The sequence below is a fragment of the Homo sapiens genome, chromosome 8, assembly GCF_000001405.40.
Source record: "Homo sapiens chromosome 8, GRCh38.p14 Primary Assembly".
NCBI lineage: Eukaryota > Metazoa > Chordata > Mammalia > Primates > Hominidae > Homo > Homo sapiens.
The window spans coordinates 118,131,648-118,158,282 of record NC_000008.11 but is presented as its reverse complement, the minus strand read 5'-3'; the positions used below and the strand labels follow the sequence as shown (position 1 = coordinate 118,158,282).

Genomic DNA, 26,635 nt, shown 5'->3' with positions numbered 1-26,635 from the left:
GCTTTGTGTGAAATCTTAAGAGCTGTTTCCTCTAATCCTTTTGGATGGTTGTTTTTCTCGCATTAGGTAATGTCCTTACGTGCATATGCTGATTATTACTTAGGTGAATATGCAAGATGTACCTTCTACAGATCTCCTAGAGTCCTCTGTCTCCTAGAGTCCTCTGTCTGGGCAGCTCCCACTTCTCTTATATTCTGTCCTGCAAACTATAGCTGCTTGAAAGCTTGGCCTCCCTGGACTCTCACCCTTGTCTCCTCAACTTACAGAGACCACTGGGATCCACCTGACTTCCCTCTCCTGCTCCAAGTCCTGGAAACTGTCTTCAATCAGTAAGCTGGAGCAATGATAAGGCTCACCTAATTTGTTTCCTATCTCTCTAGGAACACTGCTCTTCATTGTCTGATGTCCACAGTCCTGAAAAACTTTGTTTCATATACTTTGTCCATGTTTTAGGAGATTTTAAGTTAGAAGGCAAACTCAGTCTCTGTTATTCTATTTTGGCTATAAGTGGAAGTCCTCCATGCCCTACAATTTTATTCCACCACTTCTCTTTCATCCTTTATTTTCTGTTTCACTGCCCTAATTGCAACATTGTAAAAACAGTAACGAAATAGCTCCTATTTATGAGATACTGCCATGTGCCAGGGCTTTATCACACTTGATAAAGAGTACGTCCAGCAACCATGACTACAAGTTAGGCTTTTTAAAATATATATTGATGAAAAATTTCAAACATTTAGAGAAGTTTAAAATAATATAAATGTTTTTCACATGGAGTACAGACAATGCTAACCTTTTGCCATTTTTGCTTCAGCAATAGCTGAAGTCTCCTTTGTCCCCACTTCACCAATTCCATTCCTGACCTTCTGTCCCTGGAGGTAACCATTATCCTGGTATTGGTGTTCCATGGATTTATATATTCATGGTGGGTTTATTATCTTCATTTTACTGATGAAGAGTCTGAGGCTTGGAGAGATTAAGTTACCCGCAGAGAGCCATTCAATTTATAACTGGTGGCACTAAGATTGGTGCCTAGGTCTCTCTGGTCCAAAGCCATGTACTTCATGGCAAGACTACATCCGTCTTCCTGAAGCCCTATGTAAATCATACCATTTTCAAGTTTTGATTGCTACCCCTGAATTAAATATAAGTTTCTCATCTTGACTTTATAGCTCTAAAAAAGCATGACTTCAATGTACTTTAGTGACTCCAACTCTATGTAAATCTCTTCAAATCCAACAAAACCCAGTATTGCTGTGTATTTACTGGCTGTGTATTATTGCCTGTGTTTTTCCTCTGTCTTGAATATCCAACCCTTCTAATTTCCATAGGGCAAACATCATACTGACCCTGCGTAATTTATCTGACAAAATACATCATTCATTCATTCACTTACTCATGTCAAATATTGATAACTGCAAAGAGCATCTGACCAATGGCTGTTTGAGTCTTTGCTCCTTTCTTCTATCTAGGAATGTCACTCTACTCAGAACCCTTTAGCAAAGCATTTTGTATATATTCCTCCAACATTTTGCCATATTGTATAGCATTTTGTATGCTTTTTCTCCCTTTTCTATATGATAACTTTGCCCTTGTATTATCATGAATGTCTAGCACAGTATATAATAGATGCCCGTTGAACACTTACTAAATTGAATTATGCACTTAAAAATGGATATCCTGGGACATATAAGAATTGGTAAATATACTAGTATTTCAGCCAGTTAAAACATACTGAGTACAAAGGTTTTGTTAGGTGAGTAATGAGTACACACATAGAGCCCTTTCAAAACATGCAGGATCTGGCCCACATGGAGCCTTGATATCTAGTGTTTCTCCACTGAAACACAAAAGAAAATCTCAACTCCATCCTTCCACCCACAGAAAATGGCATTAACATCTTAAATCAAGTTGGCTGCAAGACATTTGGATCCAAGCAAGCAATATTAGGCCAAATTTTCACACTGATACAATCTGATGTTATCTTATACCACAGATACTTTGTTCTGTGTTGGCTTGAGTTGTCATGTATTATCATTGCCATGTAAAGTGCCATGGAAATGAAAGGGGTTGCTCTCAGTGGGTCTTTTTGCAGTTACTGAGCTACAGAGCACCTCTGCTTAAGCTGGAATAATAGATACAGCAGATTCCCCAGCTAATTCCATGTGAGTTTGGTGCCATTTTATAGTTTCCCTTGCCTTCAACTAAAACAGGATAGTGACTTTGAGATTATTCATTGCAAAAGACTGAAAATAAATCATGCAATAATGCTATATATTATGAAAAAAGGTATGATTTATGATACAGAAAGAATTTAATGCTGGATAGAAATGCTTGGATTTACTTCTATGCCTGTGACACTTAATTTCACTGAGCTAGGTGGATTAAGTAAAGAATGAGAAAGCAAAAAAATATAAAACCAGAATAAAAAATTCCAGGCTGCTTCACCTTATTCAACTCCGTGTGCATGGATACTGCTAATTTGGACACATACCATTTCCTTTTAATTATTCATCCTCCTAGAAGCTGGACAGACTAGACATGTGCTAAGGTGTGTTGTGAAAAAGTAATGAAATCTTTGCCATAGGCACCCTCCTCACCTCGCATTCCATTCACTTGATTTAGCAATACAGTAATACACTGAGGCTCTTGTCCAAGGAGCACCCTAGCGTTCTCCTTCCTTGGAGCACATCAATTTCCAATACAGTCCAGGTTACATCAGTGGGCATCTTTCTGGTGCCCATGCAATTTATATCAGTGAGCACTGATTGGGCACCAGATGGGATGCCAGAGACAGTGCTGAGTTTTACACTGGATACAATATGATCTCCTGCCTTGAGCCTCTCATAACTGAATAAAACTATACAGAACTTTTAAGATACTGTATTATAAACTATTGTTAGATGTGGCCCACCCCCCCAAAAACACTGTTCATCGAGCACGTTCTTCAATGATGTATCTGGTCTGTGTGTTCTGAGCATTCGATTGTCATTTTAATTTAGGGTTGAGTCCGTTCTAACTTTGGCAAAATGCAACAGCATTTCCTACCCAGGACTTAATAGAAATAAGAAAAAAGATTAAACAGCTTGATTGAACCCACACTTTATAATACATTAGATATAATATACTAAATAGATACAAATAAATACATATATGCATATTCATTACACACACATATATATATATTCAGAATTAAAGTTTAATAATGAAGCCATAACCAATATGCAGATGTAACTAAAATTTAATTATAGTGTGAGCAGTCTTGCTAACAGTGTCACCCAAGGGAATGTCACCATCATGGTGGGATCTAATTCTTCTAGTTTATCTCCTGGTTTTATGCCTGTTTGCTCCATCCATTTGCTGCCCCAAACTGGTCCCTTGCTAGGCTGTTTGCTTACTTTTTTATACCAAGGCTGGCATACTGTTACAAAGGATTGTCATTTTCTTTTTCTGTCACTGCTCTCAAGGTTCAGGTTTTAAGTGTTTATTGGATATTTTACTTTAACTCATGCTATTATTATTCCTAATTTTCTATTGCACAAATGTTTGCAGTGCTGGGCCATAGGATGCACAATGTCTATTCTGCAGAACTGCCTCTTACGGCTATATAGATTCTTGGTGTATACTAAAATTTAATGGTATGAGCTCTATAGAACACCCTGGACCTCAGGAAGAGAAAGAACAACTTCCAGGCTAAGTGCTTCCTGAAAACTTTTCTGCTTTGTGCAGAAAGTTATTTATGCTCTTCTTTCTTCCTGGGGCTTCTCTGAGTAATCGATACATGCACATTTTTGTGAGATCTGCGTTATGATAACAGTATGAACAGCATGTCATGGGAACACAAAGGAAAGAATGATTAATTCTGAAAGAAGAGTGATGTTTGATTAGAAATTTTGGTCTGACAGAGGCTGTCTGGAAGGGCATCCCATGCATAGCGAATATCAGCTACAAATACAAGAATCTATTGAAGTGGGTGGCATGTTTAAAGAATAGGTAGCCCAGTGTGATGAGAGGACAGATGGGGTGAAACGAAATGACGCTGAAAAGGGAGCCAGATTTTGGAGGCCCTTGAGTGCCTTGATAAAGATTTTGGCATTATTCTTTATTGTATGTGTGTGTATGTGTGTGTGTGTGTGTGCACTTGTGTGTGTGTATTCTTTGACTTTTGCTTAAGCAGGCATTGACATGATCTAGTTTGCTCTTTCCAAAGGTAATTGGCTGCAGTGTAGTGGATGGACTGGGGAGGTGAAGGACAGTGACAGCAGATCAGTTAGGGTCACTGCAGCAATCCAAATAAAAGACAAAGAGGATCTAAATGGGGAAGGTAGTGGAGACACTGGGAGAGAAATTCATTTCAGATGTAGAGTAAAGAGATCTAAAACAAATTGGATGACGGGATGAAGAAAAAGAGGAATTAAGGGTGAAGCTCAGGCTTCTAAGTAGAATGACTGGATAGATTCTTACTTCTTGTAAGAAACAAGAAGGTAGATAGGTTTTTGCTTTTGAAGGATATGGAGGAAGGGGAAAGGTAAAGATATCACTCTGACCTAGAGTAATCCTCAACCCATGGTGTAGCCTCTGGTCATCTCCCATCTAAAGCAGTATCAAAGGGCAAGTTCAGTTCTAAGGCCAATGAGGGGAATCAAGCTTAAGACAGCCAACGCAAAGAAGAATGTGCCTGGAGCATGGACCAGTCTCGTAACTGGCACCTTAATACCAAGCCACTTGAGTCTGGGCTACCTGTGTAAGTTGGCTTTTTCTCTCTTTGCAGAAGGAAATAGATTATACGTTTGGCCCCATTTTTTTTACCCCTCTCTGTCCACATGCTTTGAGTATATTTTGCAGTTCCTTTCACAAAAAACAGAGTGTACTTTCCTTTCCCTTGACTTTGAGCTTGACCAATGAGATGCTAGTAGGTTTGACATGAGCAAAGGGCTCAAATGTGCTTGTGCAGTGGGGCTTGCCCTTTGGCTCTTCACTCATCCCTATTAGGACTACTTTCCTTGAGATAGCTGTTTCCTCTTTCCCCAGGTTCTGCAACAAACACTCAAGATGCAGAGCCAATTCAGCAGCTACCATCTGAACCCAAGCCACCCAACCCTACATGAGGAAAAATAAATAATTATTTTATGGCACTGAGTTGTGGGATGTTTTGTTATGCAGTGAAAACTAACTGACACAGACACCAAGTGAAAAATATGCTTATGAGCAGTGATTCTCTGGCTTCCCTTGCCAGCTCTCTTTAGCCAGCCAAGGGGTTAGGAATGTCTGGCATAGCCCACTGCTTATCAAATGTACATGAATTAAATGGATCTATTCACAGTAATCATGTAACACTTCATGGACTTTCAGTCACCATTTTAAAAAATTCACTTCTGATTATGAATGGTGCTGTACTTGTGTCGCATAAAGCACTGGGAACAAATCCCACTACCAGTGGTGCACTTTTCCAAACCTTAATTTCTCCTGAATCAAAAAATTCTTGGCCAGGCACAGTGGCTCACGCTTGTAATCCCAGCACTGTGGGAGGCCGAGGGGGGTGAACTGCTTGAGCCCAGGAGTTCAAGACCAGCCTGAGCGACATGGTGAAATCCTGTCTCTACAAAAAATGCAAAAATTAGCCAGGTTTGGTGGTGCACGCCTGTAGTCCCAGCTACTCAGGAGGCTGAGGCAGGAGGATTGTTTGAGACTGGTGAACAAAGGTTGCAGTGAGCCAATCTTGTACCATTGCACTCTAACCTGGGCACAAGAACAACTCTGTCAAAAAAGAAGGAAGGAAGAAGGAAGGAAGGAAGGAAGGAAGGAAGGAAGGAAGGAAGGAAGGTAGGGAGGGAGGGAGGAAGGAAGGAAGGAAAAGGAAAGGAAAGGAAGGAAAGGAAAGAAAGGAAGAAAGAAAGGGAAAAAGAAAAACCAAACAAAATTCTGGCTATTTTGAATCTCAGTTTGTTATTCCAATCCTAAATCTTAAATGTTTTACTTTTTGGTGGGGGTGGTGGCAGCTAGTTCTGTGTTCTGGGGATGTAGAATCTAGTCAGATCCCAACTTTAAACTCTTGAAGACAAGTATTAAGTAGAACTTTGGCCTTTCTTTCTCTGAGTAAACAACCCAAACTCATTTAACCTTTCTTCAGAGGTTCTATTTGCCAATTATTTGGCCATCTTTCTGCTCTTTTCTGAACCCTTTTCTACTTTGTTATATGTCTTCTAAGTTGTAAAGACCAAAATTGGACATGCTCTTTATATCTGAGTTGGTGCTAAATCTAATCTTTTCACTCTTGGGTCTTTAGGAAGATGGTAGGTCAGATGCCTTAAGGTTGGGGTGGCTTCCATTTCATTATTGCAAAGAGTCTGCACTCCACTTGGATATCCCAGCACTCCCCCAGAGCTCCCCATGTTATATCTTTTGCATTGATTTTTGGTACTTCAAAATCTTTTTTTTTTTTTCTTTTTTTTTGAGACAGAGTCTCTGTCTGTCACCCAGGCTAGAGTGCAGTGGCGTGATCTCAGCTCACTGCAAGCTCTGCTTCCCGGGTTCATGCCATTCTCCTGCCTCAGCCTCCTGAGTAGCTGGGACTACAGGCACCTGTCACCACACCTGGCTAATTTTTTTTGTATTTTTAGTAGAGATGAGGTTTCACCATGTTAGTCAGGGTGGTCTCGATCTCCTGACCTTGTGATCCACCCGCCTCAGCCTCCCAAAGTGTTAGGATTACAGGCGTGAGCCACCACGCCCGGCCTGGTACTTCAAAATCTTAATCTGTCTTTGGTTCCTGCTATGATCACTCCAGGTTTTTTATGATTGCTGTTTATTTTTAAAATTTCTTCTTATTTAAAAATGAATAGAGCATTACTGAGAGGTGGGACAACATCACAAGTTAAATATAAATGTAACTGGAGGCCCAAACAGAAGGGGCTGAAAAACATTTGAAAAGGTAATGGCTAAATATTTTCCAAACTTGATAAAAAGTATAAACTTACACACCCAAGAAGCTCAATAAAACTCACGTACAAGAAACATAAAAAAGAAATACCAATGGTACATTTTAACCAATGTTATTAAAACTAGTAATAAAGACAACGATTTTTAAAGCAGCTAGAGAAAAAAAAGACTCATACAAAAGAGCAAAGATAAGGGTGATAACAGATTTCTCATTAGAAATAATGTGAGCTAGAAAACAGTGGAGAAACGTTTTAAGATACTGTAAGAAAAAATCCGTCAAACTAGAATTAAAAAAAAAATTTTTTTAGAGATGGGTCTCACTATGTTGCACAGGCTGGACTTGACTCCTGGGCTCAAGTGATCCCCCCACCTCCTCTCAAGAGGCTAGGACTACAGGTGTGTGCCATTATCCCTGGCTTTCCAAGAATTTGAAAAATACTCCAAAAAAATACCTTTCAAAATGAAGGCAAAATAAAAATTTTTTCAGATGTATATAGAGCTAAAAGAATTCATCAGCAACAGACTTTCACTTAAAACACAAGGAAAACAATACCATGTGGAAATTTGGATCTACACAAAGAAAAGAAGAACCTTGGAATTGGTAAATATAAATACTCTTCTTCCTAGTTTAATTTCTTTAAGAGATGATCAATTATTTAAAGCAACAATAATAATGTCCAGGAGTGGTGATTCATGCCTATAATTTCAGCACTTTGGGAGGCCAAGGCAGGAGGATCACTTGAGGCAGGGAGTCTGAGACCAGCCTGGGCAACATAGCAAGAGCCCATCTCTACAAAAAATTTAAAAATAAAAATAGCTGGGTGCCTTCTAGCTACTCGGGAGGCCGAGGTGAGAGGATCATTTAAGCCCAGGAGTTCAAGGCTGCAGTGAGATGTGACTGTACCACTACACTCCAGCCTGGGGGACAAATCAAGACCCTGTCTCTAAAAAAAAGAGAAAAAACAATAATAACGATGTACTGTAATATTTATAACATGTAGAAGAAAAATTGCAACAATAGTATAAGGGCAGGGAGAATAAGTATACTGAAGTAAGATTCTTATACTACAGGTGAAATAATATAATATACTTGAAGGTATGTGATGAGTTAAAGATGTATATCATAAATTCAAAAGCAGAGTTTCTCAATAGAGGCATTATTGACATTTGGAACTAGATAACTCTTTGTTGTGGGGACTGTCCTGTATACAGAAGGACGTTTAGTAGCATCCTTGGCCTCTACTCACCATATCGCAGTAGCACCTCTTCTGTTATAACAATAAAAAATGTCTTCAGACTTTATTAAATATCCCCTGGTGATGGGAAGGGAGGGGGGCAAAATCACTTTCAGTGGAGAATCACTGGGATTAAAGAATTCAAGACAATGTGGTATTGGTTGCAAGATGAACAAATAGATCAGTATTACAGAATAGAGTCCAAAAATAGACCCGTATGTATATGGTCAATTAATTTTCAACAAAGGATCAAAGGTGATTCAGTTGATAATGATGGTCTTTTTAACAAACAATGCTGGAAAAATTTGCTATCCACATGCAAAAAAATTAAAAAAATAAAAACTTCATATCTCACATTATGGTAAAGTAAATAAAAACGGATCATGGGCATAAATGCAGAACTTAAAACTATAAAAACTCTAGAAGAAAACATAGAAGAAAATTTTTGGAACCATGGATTAGGCAGAGATGTCTTAGACAATGCACCAAATAACACAACCCATAGAAGAAAGAAGTTATATTTTTCATCAAAATTAAAAATTTCTGTTCTTTGAAAGACTCTGTTAAAAGAAAGAAACTGAGAGAAAGGACTGGAACCCAGAAGACATAAAGAATACTCAAAATTCATTTGTAAGAAAATAAACAACCCAATAAAAATGGGCAAAAGATTTGAATATATACAGATGGAAAATAAGCTTATTTAAAAATGTTGAACATTATCAGTCTTTAGGCAAATACACAAAACCACAATGAGCCATCACTTCACATCTACCAGAATGGCTAAAATAAAAACATATATAATTTTAACTGTTGGTGAGAATGTGGAAAAACTGGAATCCTCATGAACTGCTAATGGGCTCATGCCTGTAATCCCAGCATTTTGGGAGGCTTATGTGGGAGGATTGATTGAGCCTGGGAGCTCAAGTTTGCAGTGAGCTGTGATGGTGCAGTGGCACGTTCCTGCACCCCTCAGCCTGGGCTACAGAATAAGACTTTGTCTCAAAAAAACAAAAAAGTTAAGCATACATTTACCATATGACCCAGCAATTATCCACTTAGGCATATACTCAAGAAAAATAAAACTGTATGTATGTCCACACAAAGATTTGCATGCAATGTTTATAGCAGTCTTATTCATAATTACCAAAAAGTAGAAACAACCCAAATGTCCATCAACTGGTGAATGGATAAGCAAAATGCCGTATAACCGTACAATAGAACTACTATTCAGCAGTTAAAAATAACAAACCATTGAACATGCTGTAACATGGGTAAAGCTCAAAAACATTATGCTAAGTGAAACAAGAAAGATGTAAATAACCACATATGACATGATTGCGCTGTATGGAATGTCCAGAAAGGCAAATCTGTTAGAAAGAAAGTATATTAGGATTGTCTGTGACTGGAAATAGAAATGAGGATTAACTGCACAAAGGTATGAAAGATTTTTTAAGGGGGAGAAGATGATGGAAATATTCTAGAACTGGATTGTGGTAATGGTTGTGTTCTGTAAATTTTCCAAAAATCATTAAATTATACACTTCAATTGGGTAAATTTTATGGTATATATATTATAACTCAATGAAGCAGTTTTTTTAAAAGATCATAATGTTTGTACGATTTTACTTTCCACTTTTTTCACTAAAAATCATAACATATATATTTGTTAATGTCAATGACAACTTGAAAACATTTTTTTCTAATAACTACTTAATATTTCTGAATATATACATACCCAAAATTAATAGTTTCCCTCTAGATCATTTGTAATTTTAAAAAATAATGTTGAGGCTGAGGCAGGAGGATCTCTTGAACCCATGAGTTTGAGACCAGCCTGAGCAGCATAGCAAGACTCCATCTCAACCAGGCACAGTGGCTTATGCCTGTAATCCCAGCATGAGGTGGCTCATGCCTGTAATCCCAGGCCTAGGGGAGTGGATCACTTGAGGTCAGGAGTTCAAGACTAGCCTGGCCAACATGGTGACACCCCGTCTCTACCAAAAAAATACAAAAATTAGCCGGGCATGGTGGTGCATGCCTGTAATCCCAGCTATTCCGGAGGCTGAGGCAGGAGAATCACTTGAACCTGGGTGGCAGAGGCTGCAGTGAGACGAAATCACACCACTGCACTCCAGCTTGGGTGGAATCCATCTCAAAAAAAAAAAGGCTCTATCTCTACCAACACACACACACACAGAAAAAAAAAATTCAGCAAGGAGTAATCCTAGCTACTTAGGAGGCTAAGTCGGAAGGATCTCTTGAGTCTAGGAGTTTGAGGTTACAGTGAGCTTATTGCACCACTCCACTCCAGCCTGGGCAACAGAGCAAGACACTGTCTCTAAAATAAAATTGAAATTAAAACAATGCTTTGTTTAACCTTTCTTTGCATATTAACTATGTGACCTTAGACATGTTCTTTAACCTTTTTTAGCTTTAATTTTTTCATAGGGGCCGGGCACGGTGGCTCATGCCTGTAATCCCAGCACACTGGGAGGCCGAGGCAGGCAGATCATGAAGTCAGGAGTTTGAGACCAGCCTGACCAACATGGTGAAGCCCCATCTCTACTAAAGAGACAAAAAATTAGCTGGGCAAGATGGCACACACCTGTAATCCCAGCTACTCGGGAGGCTGAGACAGGAGAGTCACTTGAACCGGGGAGGCGCAGGTTGCAGTGAGCCAAGATTGCGCCATTGCACTCCAGCCTGGGCAACAAGAGTGAAACTTCATTTCAAAAAAAAAAAAAATTATCCTAGGAAAAATGAGAACAATTAATAGTTCCTGCTGGCTGGGTGTGGTGGCTCACGTCTGTAATATCAACATTTTGGGAGGCTGAGCTGGGTGGATCACATGAAGTCAGGAGTTCAAGACCAGCCTGGCCAACATGGTGAAACCCCATCTCTGCTAAAAATACAAAAATTAGCCAGGTATGGTGGTGTGTGCCTGTAATCCCAGCTACTCAGGAGGCTGAGGCATGAGAATCACTTGAACCCAGGAGGCAGAGTTTTCAGTGAGCCACGATCATGCCACTGCACTCCAGCCTGGGCAACAGAATGAGACTCTGTCTCAAAAAAAAAAAGTTCCTGCCTCTTAGGTACAACATGGCTGTTCTAAGCATTATATAAAATCAAGTGTGAACCATTTAGCATGGAAATGGCAATCACCAATTAGAGTTTAGCCATCATTACTGTCCTCAATAATCATTATAAATCTTCAAATTTATGATTATTTTCTCAGAATAGGAACATATAAGTGAAATCCCAGGGCTCATTTTAAAAATCCTTCCCTCTAAGTTAGAAGTAGCAAAAAACATTCTTGGCTCTTTTCCAGGCCCTATTGTGATACTCAAAACCCAGTGTGGCTCGTCAGTTTTTTGTTCTGTTGCCTTGGTCTGATGCTTCTGAGAGCTCCTTGGCTCTATGCTTCCCATTCTCTCCAACCAAACCTATGAGTCTTGTGATTTCTCTCCTACCGGGAGATGGACTGTGTAACCTTGAATAAAAATAGTGGACAAACGAGCAATGGGTGATAATGAATGTTATTCTTCCTCATAGGCAACATAGCTGTGTTTTCCTATGGATCACTAGTATCTAAACACAGAGAATTGGAATATGGGGTCTTCAGGATGCTCTACAAAGTCTAATGGGGAAAAATTGTTGGTATTTGTGTGTTCAAATCTACAGGCCATATTGTATGTGGTTATGCTGCCTGAATTTCTTAATGGGGTGGACAAGGCCCTCCGTTCTTTACCCCCATGTACTTCTCCAGCTTTGTCTCTTGCTATCACCTCCCTGCAATGTGATACTAAAATCATACAGCAGGTCTTGCTATGTTCTCAAATGTGCCATGCTTTCTCTCCCACAATGCTTTGTACATCATGTTCTCCTGCCTTGAACACTCTCTGCCTACCCCTGCCTCCTTCATTTGGCTAACTCCTACTTATAATCCAGGCATCCTCTTAAACCCTACATCTTCCTGGAAGTTTTCCTGTACCGAAGTCGGAGTTTGGTGCTCCATGGTTAAGCTCCCATGGCACCTTGTCATTACCCTTACTGGACCTAAATTGCCTGTTTATTGGCCTTCATCCTGATCACACTATGTGGCAGCCATGGGGTTGCATCGCTTTGATCTCCCTTCAAGAAAGAACTGGCTATTTAGCTGCAAGGAGTGCAGTTAGCTGACAGCCTCCAGCTGTTAATGCCTTCAAGCTCTGCCTCAGCTTTCAAGCTGAGGCCACGATCTTTTTGGGCAGCCCCAGACAATGACCGAGTATAACAGTGGCACCAGGGCCAACTCAGGACTCCTTTAGCAGGAAATCTTTGGGTCAGCTAAGACTTCATCAGATCTGCATTGTAGTCTGAGGCTCTCTCTTCCTCATCCTGCCTCCTCCCTCTTTCCTTTGACAGATGTCATATCTGCTTTTTGGCATAAAGGATTCCCTTGTCCAATCCCGCTTCCTCACCCTTTCACGTTCACGGCTTACTCTCCAATAAGCCTCCTGAAATCCTTACTTTGTCACCTACATCTGCTTTCTGGAGAATCTGGATAACATAGACAATGAGCCCTTTAAAAGTAGGGACTACATTCTTATTCAAATTTTACCTCCAGCTCCCAGAACAACACACAGTAGGATCTCAATAAACACCTATGAAAGGATTGAATGAATGAATGAACACTCAAGATAGTGTTCAACATTGAATGATGTTTTGATCTTATATAATTCACAGGTGCTGGTCAACATTCAAGAACATTCTGATTTGAAGACTCAGATTTATTTATAAAATGCACTTCAAGAATGACATAATTGAGCATTTTTCAAGTGAGTATTTTCCAATGGTTGGATTTATGCCAAATATATAATTTACCCCTTAGGATAATCCCATGGGCTAATGTAGTTTAGCATGAGTCATAATAGATATTTGTACTTGAAATTACACAGCAGCTATAAAACTGTTATTTACTATCAAAATAGCAAATTTTAAATATTACTGCTTATGCCTGGAAATCTCATCTAAATGTTGTTTTATAGAATAAAATCCAAAAGCATTAAAAGCCTTTCAAAATCTAGACTCTATTTATTTGGCACTTGCCACATTATTGTGTGTGTGAAATATCTAGCTAGCTAACTTCCCCACTAGATTGCAAACTCCTTGAGGCAAGCAAACCATGCACTTCTCTGAATCTTATTGCTCTCTCTTTAACCTAACCCTGGCATCTAACTAGGGCTGTGTTGCATTGGAGACTATATGGATTTTTAGTACCTCAGTTGAAATAAAAGCTTTATCACTTGCTAATTGTGGCCTTCAGCTTTCTAAAACGCATCCTCGTTTTTCTCACCTTTAACCCAATCTCAGAATTTCTAGTGAGAGTTAGAGATATTTTCTTCCCTTCTTTTCCCTTATCTTCTTTTCCCTCTCTCTCTCCCTTTTCCCACCTTCCTTGCTTTTGTTCTTTCTTCCCTCTTTCTTTCCCCTCCCCTTTTTCCTCCCTTCCTTGCACCAATTTTTAAATTAATTTTATTAATAAAAATGTTATTAATTCAATAAAATTAAAACTCATTTTCATCAATAAATTAATATGTAATAAGAAATTAATAAATTTTTATTTACCTACCAAATATCATTAAATGTCTACTATGTCCCAGGCACTGTGCTAGGTGCTTTGGGAGCAGCAGTGAGTGAAACAGACAAGGCTTATGGCCCCCATGAACTCTCTCAGTGGGGATGAGGGTTGTCAAAAATAATTACCCAAATAATGAATATGTGCAATAATAGAAGTGGGAGAGTGGCTAAAAAATAATGCCCCCAAAGAATATTCATGTCAAACATTGGAGCTTGTGATGTGATTTTATTTGGGAAAAGTCTTCGAAGATGTAATTAAAGATCTTGAGATGAAGAGACAATTGTGGCTTATCTGGGCAGGGCCTAAATGCTGTCCAGAGATCCTCGCCCGAATCCTTATAAGACACACAGAGGAGAAAACACACGGAAGGGGAGGAGGCAACATGACCACGGAGGCAGAAACTGGAGAGATGCAGCCACACCAAGGAATGCCTGGAGCTACCAGAAGCTGGAAGAGGGGAGGAAGGATTCTCTCCCAGAACTTTAGGAGGGAACACAGCCCCGCCAACACCTTTACTTTGGATTTCTGGTCTTCAGAACTGCAATAAAATATATTTCTGTTGTTTTGAGCTAGCAAGTTTGTGATAATTTGTTATAGCAGCCACAAGAAACTAACACAAGGGAGTAAATAAACAAGGATCTGGGGGTCTGGGAAATGACTGTGCGTAGACCTCAGTCCTCTCCGTGTTTTCGTGCTTTCCATATTCTATGGCATGTTAGGATATTGTCTCATTTTCTGGACTCTACATTTTTTCTTCTCTGATTGATATACTCTCACTTTGCCCGTGCCTAGAAAGTTGGAGATTAATTCCCACAGGTTTAATTTTAACCCCTCTTGCTGTGGATTCTCTGCAGTCTATGCTTCACATTCTTGGAAGAACACCACTGAGCTCTATCAGTCTGGGTATTTATAATGACAGATAGAGAACGGCTTCAAAGGCATGCTTGCAACTCCCTAACATGCTTTTACACTTTACTGTGATGTGGCGCAAAGTACACAGGTAGATGCCATGAGTTCTGCATTTCAGTTCAGCTTTTGACACTAATTGAGTGCATGATCTTTGACAAGTCACTTAGGGTATTTATGCCTCAATTTCTTCATGTGAAATTAGGGTTTATCTGGCTTCAAAAATAACCATAATTCCTTAGTGAATTTTTTTTACATTTGTGCAAAAACATTTATGTAAATTGACTTGGGGTCCTATATAACTAATTCTATAAGTAATTCTGCAGTACACATTATCTAAAAGGAGGAGAATCTATACTCTTAGATATACTGTGCCCCTCTTGGTTTTGCACAAATGATTCTCCATAAATCAGATGTACAGGTAATCAAAAGTCTTGACTGTGTCCCCAGAAATCACAACTCAGAAGTCAACCTTTAGGAATCCCTTTAAAAAAAAAGTTGTGTTTTATGATGGAATTTCCCTTGGTGAGCTTAAACAAGTAGTATAAGCTAAGTTACTCAACCAGAAGAGGTTTACCATCATACTTCCTTGATGTGTTTCGTAATAAACAGGCCCTGGCCGGTGCCTGTGGTTTATTCACTATTATTATTATTCATTATTCTAACACATCTCTGGGTCTGTGCTCTAGGCAAACCAAGTCTAAACACATCCCTTCCCTCACTCTTCTTCCTCACCGCCATTAGCTCTATGACACAGGATAGTATTAGTCACTTATATAAACTAGTAGATATTCATCTATTAGCCCACTCCTTTGCTTGGCACTGCAGAGATCAGAAATGTGTGACACATGAATGGCTTTTGACATCAAAGAACTTATCTGAGCAAAGATAGCCAAGGATTCATGTCAGCAGCATATTGTGAGGGCCAATGTAGGAGTACTTGAATTTGTTATAGAAGCAGATAGCAGGAAGCAAATACTCTGGTCTGCTAGACTGGAAGTTAGCCCGTTGATCTGAGGTTTCCAGTTCACCACCGTGTTCCCAATGCCGAAGACAGTTTCTGCAGTAAAGCAAGCATTCGATAGATATGAATTGAATGGTTAAATGTTTGGTCTGAACTTGGTAGGGATGGACAGGAGAAGGTTCCCAGAAGAAGAGAAACCTGAGTTAGGGTTTGAAGAATTGAGAGACATTAGGTGATAGAAGGCAAGAGGGAACTTCTAGAGATGCTATAAGCCAAGTTGCAGAAATAGACTTTTCGTAGAGGTAAAGGGGGAATGTGGGTGCTAGATTAATGCTGAGATTGATTCTTAAAAGGTTAATGTCATTTCGGTTTATGGCTTACACATTGTTGAATAGTGAGAGTCTGCTTCTAACATTTGTTAATTTTGGCACTGGAAACAAGAGGTTCAAGGACCTGGGAGAGATGCACAGCCTCCCTCTGAGGCCTTGGAACAACTTTTCTAATCAGGTGCCAAAGTCTCTACGTGGCTCTAAAACCTCCAGCTATGTAGTGAGAATCTCTAGTTGGGGCCACAAAATTTGCGTGGTTATTAGCTACTGAGCCTAGAAGGTATCATTTCATGTTACTATGAACTGGGTCTACAATCCTAGAACATATGCCTTTGATAACTGTCCCAGGGAGAGGCCATCTTCCAAAATTTTCTAGAAACTATCACAGGGGATGGCCAGGACTAAGGTGGGACCCTAGCCCTTCCTAGCCCTCTGTTATTCTTCTCTCTGCATTTGGTTCTGAAGATTTAAATGTCCAAATCTGGTCTTGCTTCTTTGCTTACTTCCTGGCAATTGCCATGGAGTCAGGTGGCACAGCAAAAGGTAAATTAAATAGAAAGATGCTCTGTTTAAGATCTATGTGGCTTCTATTACTCACTGAGTCAGAACTAACAATTTTACTCTTTACATCAAAACTATTCACCAGAGTTATTTGGCCTACCCCATTTCTCCCTCCTTAACCTACACCTCAATTTCTATACTGGTATGTTTTCATCATGGAAAGTCAAATATCAGACTGTTAGCAGGAAGCTTGGTGTATGGGGCATTGGCTCAAGACAGCAGACCTTGGCTTCAGATTTGATTCTGTTATTTATCAGCAATGTGGATCTCCCCTGACCAAGCTTCATTTTCCACCAGGGTAAAATGAGAGCAATCATACCTCACATATCATCCTCACAAACTTATTGATAAACTTCTAATGAGACCATGCATTTCTAACAGGCTTTGTAAATGTGAAGCACATAAACATGTAAGGAACAATTATTCTTATTTTTTGCATCTTCTCTACACATATGGCAGTCTCAAATTAGTTAGTACTTCTGTTACATTGAACAAAGGGCTACTGAACTCTGAAGACTTTCGTAAAAGCTGAGCCAGAAAAGTGTTGACAATGTCCTTTGAATTTCATATCTCTTAGAATTTGCTTCTGTAGCTGCTTATCTTTTTGCCAGTTCCTAAATATTCTTGCTCTTGTGACTAACACTCTGGAGTACTCAATAAATGTCAGTTGAATTAATATATGAATAATGCAGTGTTTATTAGTTAAGATAGTCTAAGCTATGCTGCAATGACAGATAAACCCTGAAATCTCAGTGACTCAGCCCAACAAAACTTTATCTCTTATTCATGTAAAACCTGATGCAGGCCATGGGACAGGGGTAGGCTCCTAATGACTCAGAGGGCCAGGGTTCTTCTGTATTATGAATCAAGGCAATGGTTTCCCAAGTTGCTTCAGGGAAGGAAAAGAAAGATGGAGAAAGCTCTAGGCTTTTAATTATCATGGCCTACAAGTGTCATTTCCACTCACTAATTGGCCAGAATTAATTGTACAGCCCAACCAAACTGCAAAAGAGGCTAGAAAATGTAGAAGAGCAAATGAAATAGTTGTGGAGTGCCAGTTTCTCTGAAACACGATGCCCTCCACCTCAATAAGAGTCATTGTCTCTTACCCCCAATACAGATTGCAGGGAAATATAACAATACATAAGACAGACAAAGGCCAGGTGCAGTGGCTCACACCTATAATCTCAGCACTTTGGGAGACTGAGGTAGGAGGATTGCTGGTGTCCAGGAGTTTGAGGCCAGCCTGAGCAACATAGCAAGATCCTATCTCTACAAAAAAATAAAAAATTAGCTAGGCATGGTGGCATATGCCTGTAGTCCCGGTTGCTCAGGAGACTGAGGTGGGAGGATTGCCTGAGCCCAGGAGGTGGAGGCTGCAGTGAGCTGTGATCATGCCACTCTACTCCAGTCTGGGCAACAGAGTGAGACACTGTCTCAAAAAAAAAAATAAAAGACAAATTCCCTGGTTTTCTGGAGGTTATATTGAGGTGAAAGAATGAGAACATTTTGGCTTCATTTTAGTTTCATAATATCATGTACTGTTTATCCTTCCATTTCAATTATTGTTTATCCTTCTTCTTCAATTGTGCCATTTTTGAAGGTGTCAAAGTTTTTTGAAAGAATAAGGGAGGGACCATTCTAACAGCTCTGTGCTTCACCCTAGGGAAATGAGACTTGTGTCTCTTGCTTCAGCTCCTGTCTGCTGGTTCAAAACTCCCTGTGATTTCAGCTGGGAAGATGGCAGAGGAAAGGAAGTCCAGCGCCTTCCAGCTGGACTTGTTTGGATTGGCACAGTTTTTGTAAGCAGCCATGACTCCAGAGCTGCTGGAAAATGTGCTTATCACCCTAGAGGATTGAGTGGGAAGGAGAAGATCCTAACTGACAGAGTTTGAATGAGAGCCAACGGAAAATGGGCCTCAGTCTTTTGGTAGGTGGGTGGGAAGAAGATACGGGGTCCAGCCACAGGGTGTGAGCAAGCTGTGACATTATCTTTATTATTGTAGCCAGATAGAATGAAATCCTAAAACAGATAGAATCTTAGCCAGATAGAATGGAATCCTAGAATGGAATCCTGGCGCAGTGGCTCACACATGTAATCCCAACTACTTGGGAGGCTGAGTCAGGAAGATCACTTGAGGCCAGGAGTTCAAGAGCAGCCTGGGCAGGACAGAAAGACTCCCATCTCTAAAAATATATAGATATAGTCAGGCACTGTGGCACATATCTGTAGTCCCAGCTTCTCAGGAGGCTGAGGCAGGAAGAGGGCTTCAAGCTAGGAGTTTGAGTCTGCAGAGAGCTATGATCGTGCCACTGCCCTCTAGGCTGGGTGACAGAGTAAGACTGTTTATAGAAAGTAAACTAAAACTAAACAAATAAAGAATAGAAACTTATTGTTAATTTTCATTGAGTGAATGAGAAATATATCCAGTTATGTTTCCTTCTTTGCCATTTCCCTTTATCATTGGGTTTCTCTCCAGTGTAAAGGGAAGATTTCTATTTTTTTTTTTTTTAATGTCTGCCAAAACCCTGACACCAATCTCTGGTCTGACTTCACTGAACATTACTTGCTCCTCCTATGCAGACTAGCATTTCTTGATTCTCTGCACTTAATACTTATACCACATGTTGTTAATATCCATTTCCACCACCTCTGCCTCCACTTGGTCTTGTATCACATGGGCCAGAAAGCCAAAAATTATATTCTCAGTCTCCTTGGCTGTTAAGTTCGATACAATTTAGAGTCCAGCAATGAGTTGTACGCTAATGAGATTGGAAAGTGGAAGGGAAGAGGGCCACTCTCCTTAGTGTCGGTATTGGCTGATGCACATGCTCATCAAATTGGAGCTTGTGCAGTCACCAGAAAGCTGGTGTGAAAACCGATTTGAGGCTGTGGGGCAGCTATGATGGTGAATGTGGTCTCCTGCAGCCTCCTGAACTGGGTGCCAGCTGCAAGAGAAGCCTTGAAGCTTGTTAGTGGCCCTGTGTCTTCAGTTCCTGCCATCTCGCCTATATTTTGTAACCACTTATTTTTCTATTTTAAACCCTATTCTGATTGAAATACCATCTTAGTCCATTCAGGCTTCTATACAAAATACCATAGATTAGTTGGCTTACAAACAAGAGAAATTTATTTCTCATACATCCGGATGCTGGGAAGTCCAAGAGCAAGGCTCCAACATATTCAGTGTCTGATGGGGACCCATTTCCTTGTTCATAGGCAGCACCTCCCAGGAGTGTCCTCACATGGTGGGAGTGGTGAGGGGTCTCACCCGAGCCTCCTTTATAAGGGCACTAATCCCAAATATCAGGGCTCTGTCCCCTTGAACAAATCTCCTCCCAATGGCCTCACCTACTAACTCTGTCACCTTGAGGGTAAAGATTTAAACATATGAATTTGGGGCACATATAAACATTCAGACCATAGCTAGAGTGGTTTCTATTTCCTGCAGGTATTTTCTGACTTATGCAGTGCTTCTATACATTATCTTACTGGGATATTCAGCCCGCTTCGAGTCACTCACTCAGTAAGCGTTGGAATCAGGATACACATTCTAAGACCCATGTTCTTATCACTGTTCCATGCTGCCTCCTCCTTATCCTTTAAGACCCAAATCAGATTTTACTTTCAGTCTCACCCTCTGCCTTATTCCTCCATTCCCAGCACATGTCTGTCCCACACCTCTTCTTATTGGCTCATTCTGCCTAACATTGATATTTCATTTTCCTCTCTAATTTTAGTCCCATGAAAAGAAAAAAAAGTTAAGGAAAAACAAGTTAGCTCATAAGTAAAAAAAAAAAATGCTTTCTCATGTGTATTTTTAATATTTGTCTGATGGCACCATGCTGGCAAGCTTGTCCAACCCACAGCCGTATGTGGCCCTGGATGGCTTTGAATGTGGCCCAACAAAAATTTGTAAACTTTCTTAAAAAATTATGAGATGTTTTTGTGATGATTTTTTTTCTTTTCAGCTCATCAGCTGTCATTAGTGTTAGCGTATTTTATGTGTGGCCTAAGACAATTCTTCTTCCAATGTGGTCCAGGGATGCCAAAAGAGCATAAAGACACAGCACAGAAGGAAAACCTCTGCTCTTTAATTTAAGCTGATACTCCTCCTCCAAGCCATGTAACTCAAGAACTGTAGGACAGTTATAAGAACTTCTGAGGGATGCACATCCTGGTGGAGGAAGTGAGGCAGGAGAATAGGGTCCAAAGGGAGGGGAAACTGAGGCCGATTTCACGCTGACTTCGTATAACTAAAATGAAAGGAAAACCCCAACTTTCCATGCCTAAGTAACAAAAGAACCAGAGGCCACTCCCTTTGCAAAGCCCCCCACCCCCAAGTTTTTCTGGAAGGCAGATGGAAAATTGTGGAAACAAATCAGACGTTTACATGGGAGTGTAACTTTGTAACTTCACTTCAGCCTCTGACTGGGGGCTAAGTCTTCCTTTGCATAGAAGCATAACCATTGTAACTTCACTTCAGCCTCTTATTGGTTGCTTTCCACAATCAATCAGACTGATTGCCGGCCACTACTTCATTTGCATAGAGTGAACACCAAGTGGCCAATGGGAAACCACTAGGGGGTGTTTGGACCCCAGAAGATTCTGTAACTGGGGCCCTGGAGCCACTGCTCAGCCCACTCCCACTCTGTGGAGTGTGCTTTCATTTTCAATGACTCTCTGCTTTTGTTGCTTCATTCTTCCTTGCTTTGATGTACATTTTGTCCAATTCTTTGTTCAAAACACGGAGAACCTGGACAACTAGCAGTCAAACCCTCTACCAGTAACAGAGGAATCTCTATTGCCAAAGAAATGGGGGAGGAAGAAGAGGCAGAAAGAAACTGTCTAGGAATCTACTCACACAGAAGCCCTGGGTTTTCTTCCTTGCGGATTGATTACCCTTTTGCTTTATTTCCTCACATCTTCTACAGTCTCCTTCTGCCATTTTCTTACAGCAGACATTAAAGTGACTCCCCTACCCTGGTTTCCACATCTACAGCTCAGCCAGGGGAGTCAGATCCAGGAGCAAAGACATCAGCTGTGTACACCAACAGCTTTCCTCAAAGGGAAACTTTGAAGTAATTTTCAAAGGTTAAAGGAAACTTGCCAGTCTGGAAGCTCGTGGGAAAACCCAGCCCATACTTGATTTCTTTCCCATCTAAGGAGGTGAGCCCAAAGGATGACAAAACTATAGCCTATTGGATGGTGAACACCAGGGAAATAAGAATTCAGTGGTGAGCATCTGGATTTACAACTTGAAAAACTGTTTTAGGTGGTAAAGTTAAGCCTTCTTAAGTTCTCCCTTATGACTTTCCCACTTGATCTCCTCCAAAATGTTGGCTTTGGCTTTTCAGTTCATGAGAATTGACGTAAGTATCAACAAAGAAGCCAGATAGGCCAGGCATGGTGGCTCATGCCTGTAATCCCAGCACTTTGGGAGGCCAAGGCGGGCGGATCACTTGAGGTCAGGAGTTCGAGACCAGCCTGGCCAACATGGTGAAACCCCATCTCTACTAAAAATACAAAAATTAGCCAGGTGTGGTGGCACACACCTGTAATCCCAGCTACTCAGGAGGCTGAGGCAGGAGAATTACTTGAACCCAGGGGACAGAGGTTGCAGTAAGCTGAGATTGTGCCACTGTACTCCAGCCTGGGTGACAAGAGTGAGACTCTGTCTAAAAAAAAAGAAAAAGGAAAAACAAAGAAGCCAGATAAAGTTTCAGATGGAAAGAACCAGAGAGGAGACAAAGTGGGGACAAAGCGGGGGAGTGGGAAGGAAGGAAGGATGAGGATGTTGTGTGGAAGGAGATGTGGAAAGGAGAGTGGGAGCACAAGGAACCCAAGGAGTAGAAAAGCAGAGCTAAAGAATATTTCTGGGCTGGGCATGGTGGCTCACGCCTGTAATCTCAGCACTTTGGAAGGCCAAGGCAGCAGGCCTCCCATTGCTTAAGTCCAGGAGTTGGAGACCAGCCTGGGCAACATGGCAAAACCCTGTCTCTACAAAAAGTTAAAAAATTAGCTGGGCATGCTGGCACATGCCTATGGTCCCAGCTACTTGGGAGGCTGAGGTGAGAGGATTACCTGAGCCTGGGAGGTTGAGGCTGCAGTGAGCTATGATCGCACCACTGCACTCCAGCCTGGGTGACAGAGCAAGAACATGTCTCAAAAAAGAAAAAAAGAAGAAGAAAATTTCTCCAATGGAAAAATTCCTCATTCAAGTCTGTCGTTTAAGAATCTACCTGATAGGCCAGGCATGGTGGCTCATGCCTGTAATCCCAGCACTTTGGGAGGCTGAGGCAGGCAGATCACGAGGTCAGGAGTTTGAGACCAACCTGGCCAACATGGTGAAACTCCGTCTCTACTAAAAATACAAAAATTAGCCAGACATGGTGATATATGCCTGTAATCCCAGCTACTCAGGAGGCTGAGGCAGGAGAAATGCTTGAAACCGGGAGGCGGAGGTTTCAGTGAGCCGAGATAGTGCCACTGCACTCTAGCCTGGGTGATAGAGCAAGACTCCGTCTCAGAAAAAAAACAAAAAAGAAACACTACCTGATAAACTGTTATAATATTCATCATTATTTAGATTGCCTATATTGTACCAATTAACTGGTATGTGTCCTTTACAGTTGTCATTTTCTCTAGCATATACTTGGTGTCACATATATGAGCTCCTCCAGTCACTTCTGTGTGGTTTCTGGACCAGCAGCAGCACCTGAAGCTTGTTAGCAATGCACACTCACAGACCCTGCTCTGGCCATTCTAAATGAGAATCTGCCTTTTAACAAGTTTTTCACATGATTCATGAGCACAGTAAAGACTGAGAGGCACTGCCCTACAACCTCAGACAATAATGAGCAAGAGAGTGACAATGAGTGAGGGAGTGAGTTTGCTCTGAGGAGGCTGGTATGAAGGCGAGTATGCACTTCGCTGCACACTCGATTCCTTGGAAGACTAATGAAGATTAAACAGCGGACAAGTTAGCAGCAGACTAATGAGTATTGCCTGACCACAAACCAAGAAAACCTGGTTATACCCGAAGCTAGTGGTTCTCAAAGTTTATTGGGCATCGGAATCACCTGGAGAGCTCATTAAACCGTAGATTGCTGGACTCCATTGCTGGACCCTCCCTGCTCCAGAGTTTCTGGTTCAGTAGGTCTAGAGTGGGCCTGAAAATCTGCATGTTTCACCAGTTGCTAGGTGATGCTGACAGTGCTGGTCTAGGAACGACACATTGAAAACAACTGTCCTAAGCAATAAAGACATTCAGATAAAAGAATCTTGCTCCTATAAACTATTTGGGATAATTAAGGTCTCAAATCCCCTATTGAATTTGTCATTGGAGACCAGACCACTTTATAGTGACTTCCAGAAAAAGCCCCTCATGGGAAAGCCCACATGTATTTCAGCCAGCTGCATGGGGTTGAGAGCTAATTAGCAGGGAAGCTAGAATGGTCTTGCTTTCCCAGGCGTGTTATCCAAGAAACCCAGAGACAGTCGGTTGTTGAAGAAAATTATACAGATGAGACCCGGAAGCTGCCATTTCATTGGGGAAGATTTTGCCTTTTCATTACAAGAGAAAGCTAACATTTCCCATCTTTCCCTCCACCAAAAGTAGGCAAGCATAAAACCAAAGCCAATTTCTCACAATTTAGTAACCTCAGTACCAACCAATTATATTCCAAGGGACATGAGAAACAGCTGTTGTAACATTAGAGCTCGAACAGTTTCATCTCCGCTATTTAAGGGGATAAAAGAGCCAATATTTTCATTCCCTTGTGATATTATCAAGACATGATAAACAACCAGGACTATAGTATTAATTACATTAATTTGGAGAGGAGAGGGACTACTTTAATTGCTCCAAGCTGGAGAATAATTTTTTATGGGCAGACAATCATTCCATAAATTCACATTAGAATGAGTACTTTGTCTTATTTTATCAGCAACAAAACTTCTGGAAGCAAAAAACAACCACCACCCACTTTTAAGGTAGACTTCAATAGAAAAAAAAAAAGTCTTGCTGTTGCTATGTATCAGTTCTTCTACCTGACATGTTGAGCTGTTTGGTAAAAAGAAACACAGGGAAGGTATTTGTCCTTAAAGAATTCATAATCTAAAAAAGGAAGTAGTACCAACAGCTAAATTTGAATACTTTCTTATATATAAAACATATATGAAGAGAGTGTTGCCTCCATCTCGGGATTAAGAAGATCAAATGGGGATGTGGGAAGAGCATCAGGAAGAATAGCTAATAGATGCTGGGCTTAATACCTGGGTGATGAATTGATCTGTGCAGCAAACCACCATGGCACATGTTTACCCATGTAACAAACCTGCACATCCTGCACATGTATCCCTGAACTTAAAATAAAAGTTGAAGGAAAAAAAAGAAGATCAAATGAATGATGGACATCAAAATGCCCTATAAGCCATAACACCTTAAAAAAGCAGAAGAGAAAGGGGAAATATCATTTATTGAATGCCTTCTACATGAGGCACTGAGCTAGGTGCTTGACTTACATGGTCATATTTTAAAACTCATAAGGAACTCTAGAAGGAAATAAAAACATAAAACAGAGAAAATATAATAGTGAAATGCCAATTTTGTCAACATGGAAATCATTCAGATAAAACCCAATTTTTTCAATGTGGAAATTATTCAGATAAAATGTTTGACTCATATTAAGTAATAAGATATATATATATATATATATATATATATATATATATATATATATATATATATATACACACACACACATATGTTAGCTACCATAAGAATCATCTCTCACCACCAGAATAAATATTCTCTCACCACAATAAATATTTGTCTCCCTGATAGGTGGCCACATTCTGAAATCATTCAAGCATATACTATAGTTTGGGTAATAAAAACATATGTAAGTAAATCTACTAAGGCTCCTGCAATTAAAAACTGCACTCAGCTCCAATGTTTGGGATGGTGGAAGATGGATGGAAAGGCTCTGGAGAATTCAGAGTGGCTCCAGGAAGTAGCTCCTAAGAGCTGTTGGATGCAGCAGGTGTTGCTGTGGCTTTGAATTTGCGGTTTATAATTCAGGGCCCAGGGGATTCCATCCAGGTTTACAGAAACACTTGTTCTAGAAAATTCCTATGAACAGTGCTGATATTGTCACATTTTCCAGATTCTCTTTCAGGTTCTGCCTGAGCTACTATGAAGCAGTTGTGGGGAGTGGGTCTTCCAATGCTCGGAATGCTCTGGAAACTTGAATTGATGATAAAAGCAGTTCAGCATGGGACTAGTACCAAGACTCACACTAAGGAAGAAGGAGTTGGAATAAATTGAAAGAACACTCTGGGGTTGTGCATTCCCCATTGCAGAATTGGGGACACTGCTGTAAATGGGGAGTACTCACTGGAGAATGAAAAACTTTGAATGTTGCAAAGTTCTGAACCACAGGGTTCCTTTTTATGTAGAAATATCTTCATAATGTATATATCCACAGGGGAATTGCTTGAGTAAAATGTAGAGCAACTATGAACACACAGAACCACTCAGTAAAACTGTATATATCCATATGGTAATGTATGAAATATATTGTAGAGAGAGAATTTCAATTGCAAACAGTATTGTTTTATATGATTTAACTTTTATTTAAAAATACAAAGATATGAATGGAAAAATATTGTAAGTGTATATGTGGAAATACTGACATTGATTATCACTTGATAATGGATATTGGGGTATACCATACCCATTATAATAGGATAATGGGTATCTTCTCTTTGCTTATTTATGTTTTCTGAACTTTCTACAGTACTATGTAACTTGTAAAAATATAAATTTTCAGAACCGGAATTATTTTTCTTATCATCAGGATAGCAATAAATAAAACTTGTCGGAAGCTTACCATGCCACATAGTATTTCACCTTTGTGAGGTCATTTTCTTCTCACAGTGGGATAATAAGGTTGTTCTTTAATGAGAGGAGGTGTTACTCCAAGGAAGCAAATGAATCAACATTAATTGTAGAATTTCTTGTGTTCTTTCTACTACTCCTTAGTCATCTGGAAATTCAGCTCTTCCTGACTTCTA

At 40.3% G+C, this 26,635-nt stretch overlaps 1 protein-coding gene across 1 annotated transcript in view, besides 1 other annotated feature; it reads left to right on the top strand.

Annotated features, from left to right (window-relative positions):
• The window catches only part of SAMD12 (sterile alpha motif domain containing 12), a 490,139-nt gene extending 463,681 nt beyond the window's left edge, over window positions 1–26,458 (top strand). The window contains exons 5-6 of the transcript NR_146234.2: window positions 12,900–12,991; window positions 25,726–26,458. The gene's annotated coding sequence lies outside the window, so the exon portion shown is untranslated. The remainder of the gene's footprint in view (window positions 1–12,899; window positions 12,992–25,725) is intronic.
• Window positions 15,379–15,673: a silencer, noted in NCBI's record as "tiled region #7200; HepG2 Repressive non-DNase unmatched - State 24:Quies". NCBI's record gives its function as "represses a minimal TATA promoter and a strong SV40 promoter by Sharpr-MPRA in HepG2 cells {active_cell/tissue: HepG2}" and the evidence as "EXISTENCE:reporter gene assay evidence [ECO:0000049][PMID:27701403]".
• Window positions 26,459–26,635: the final 177 nt, after the last annotated feature.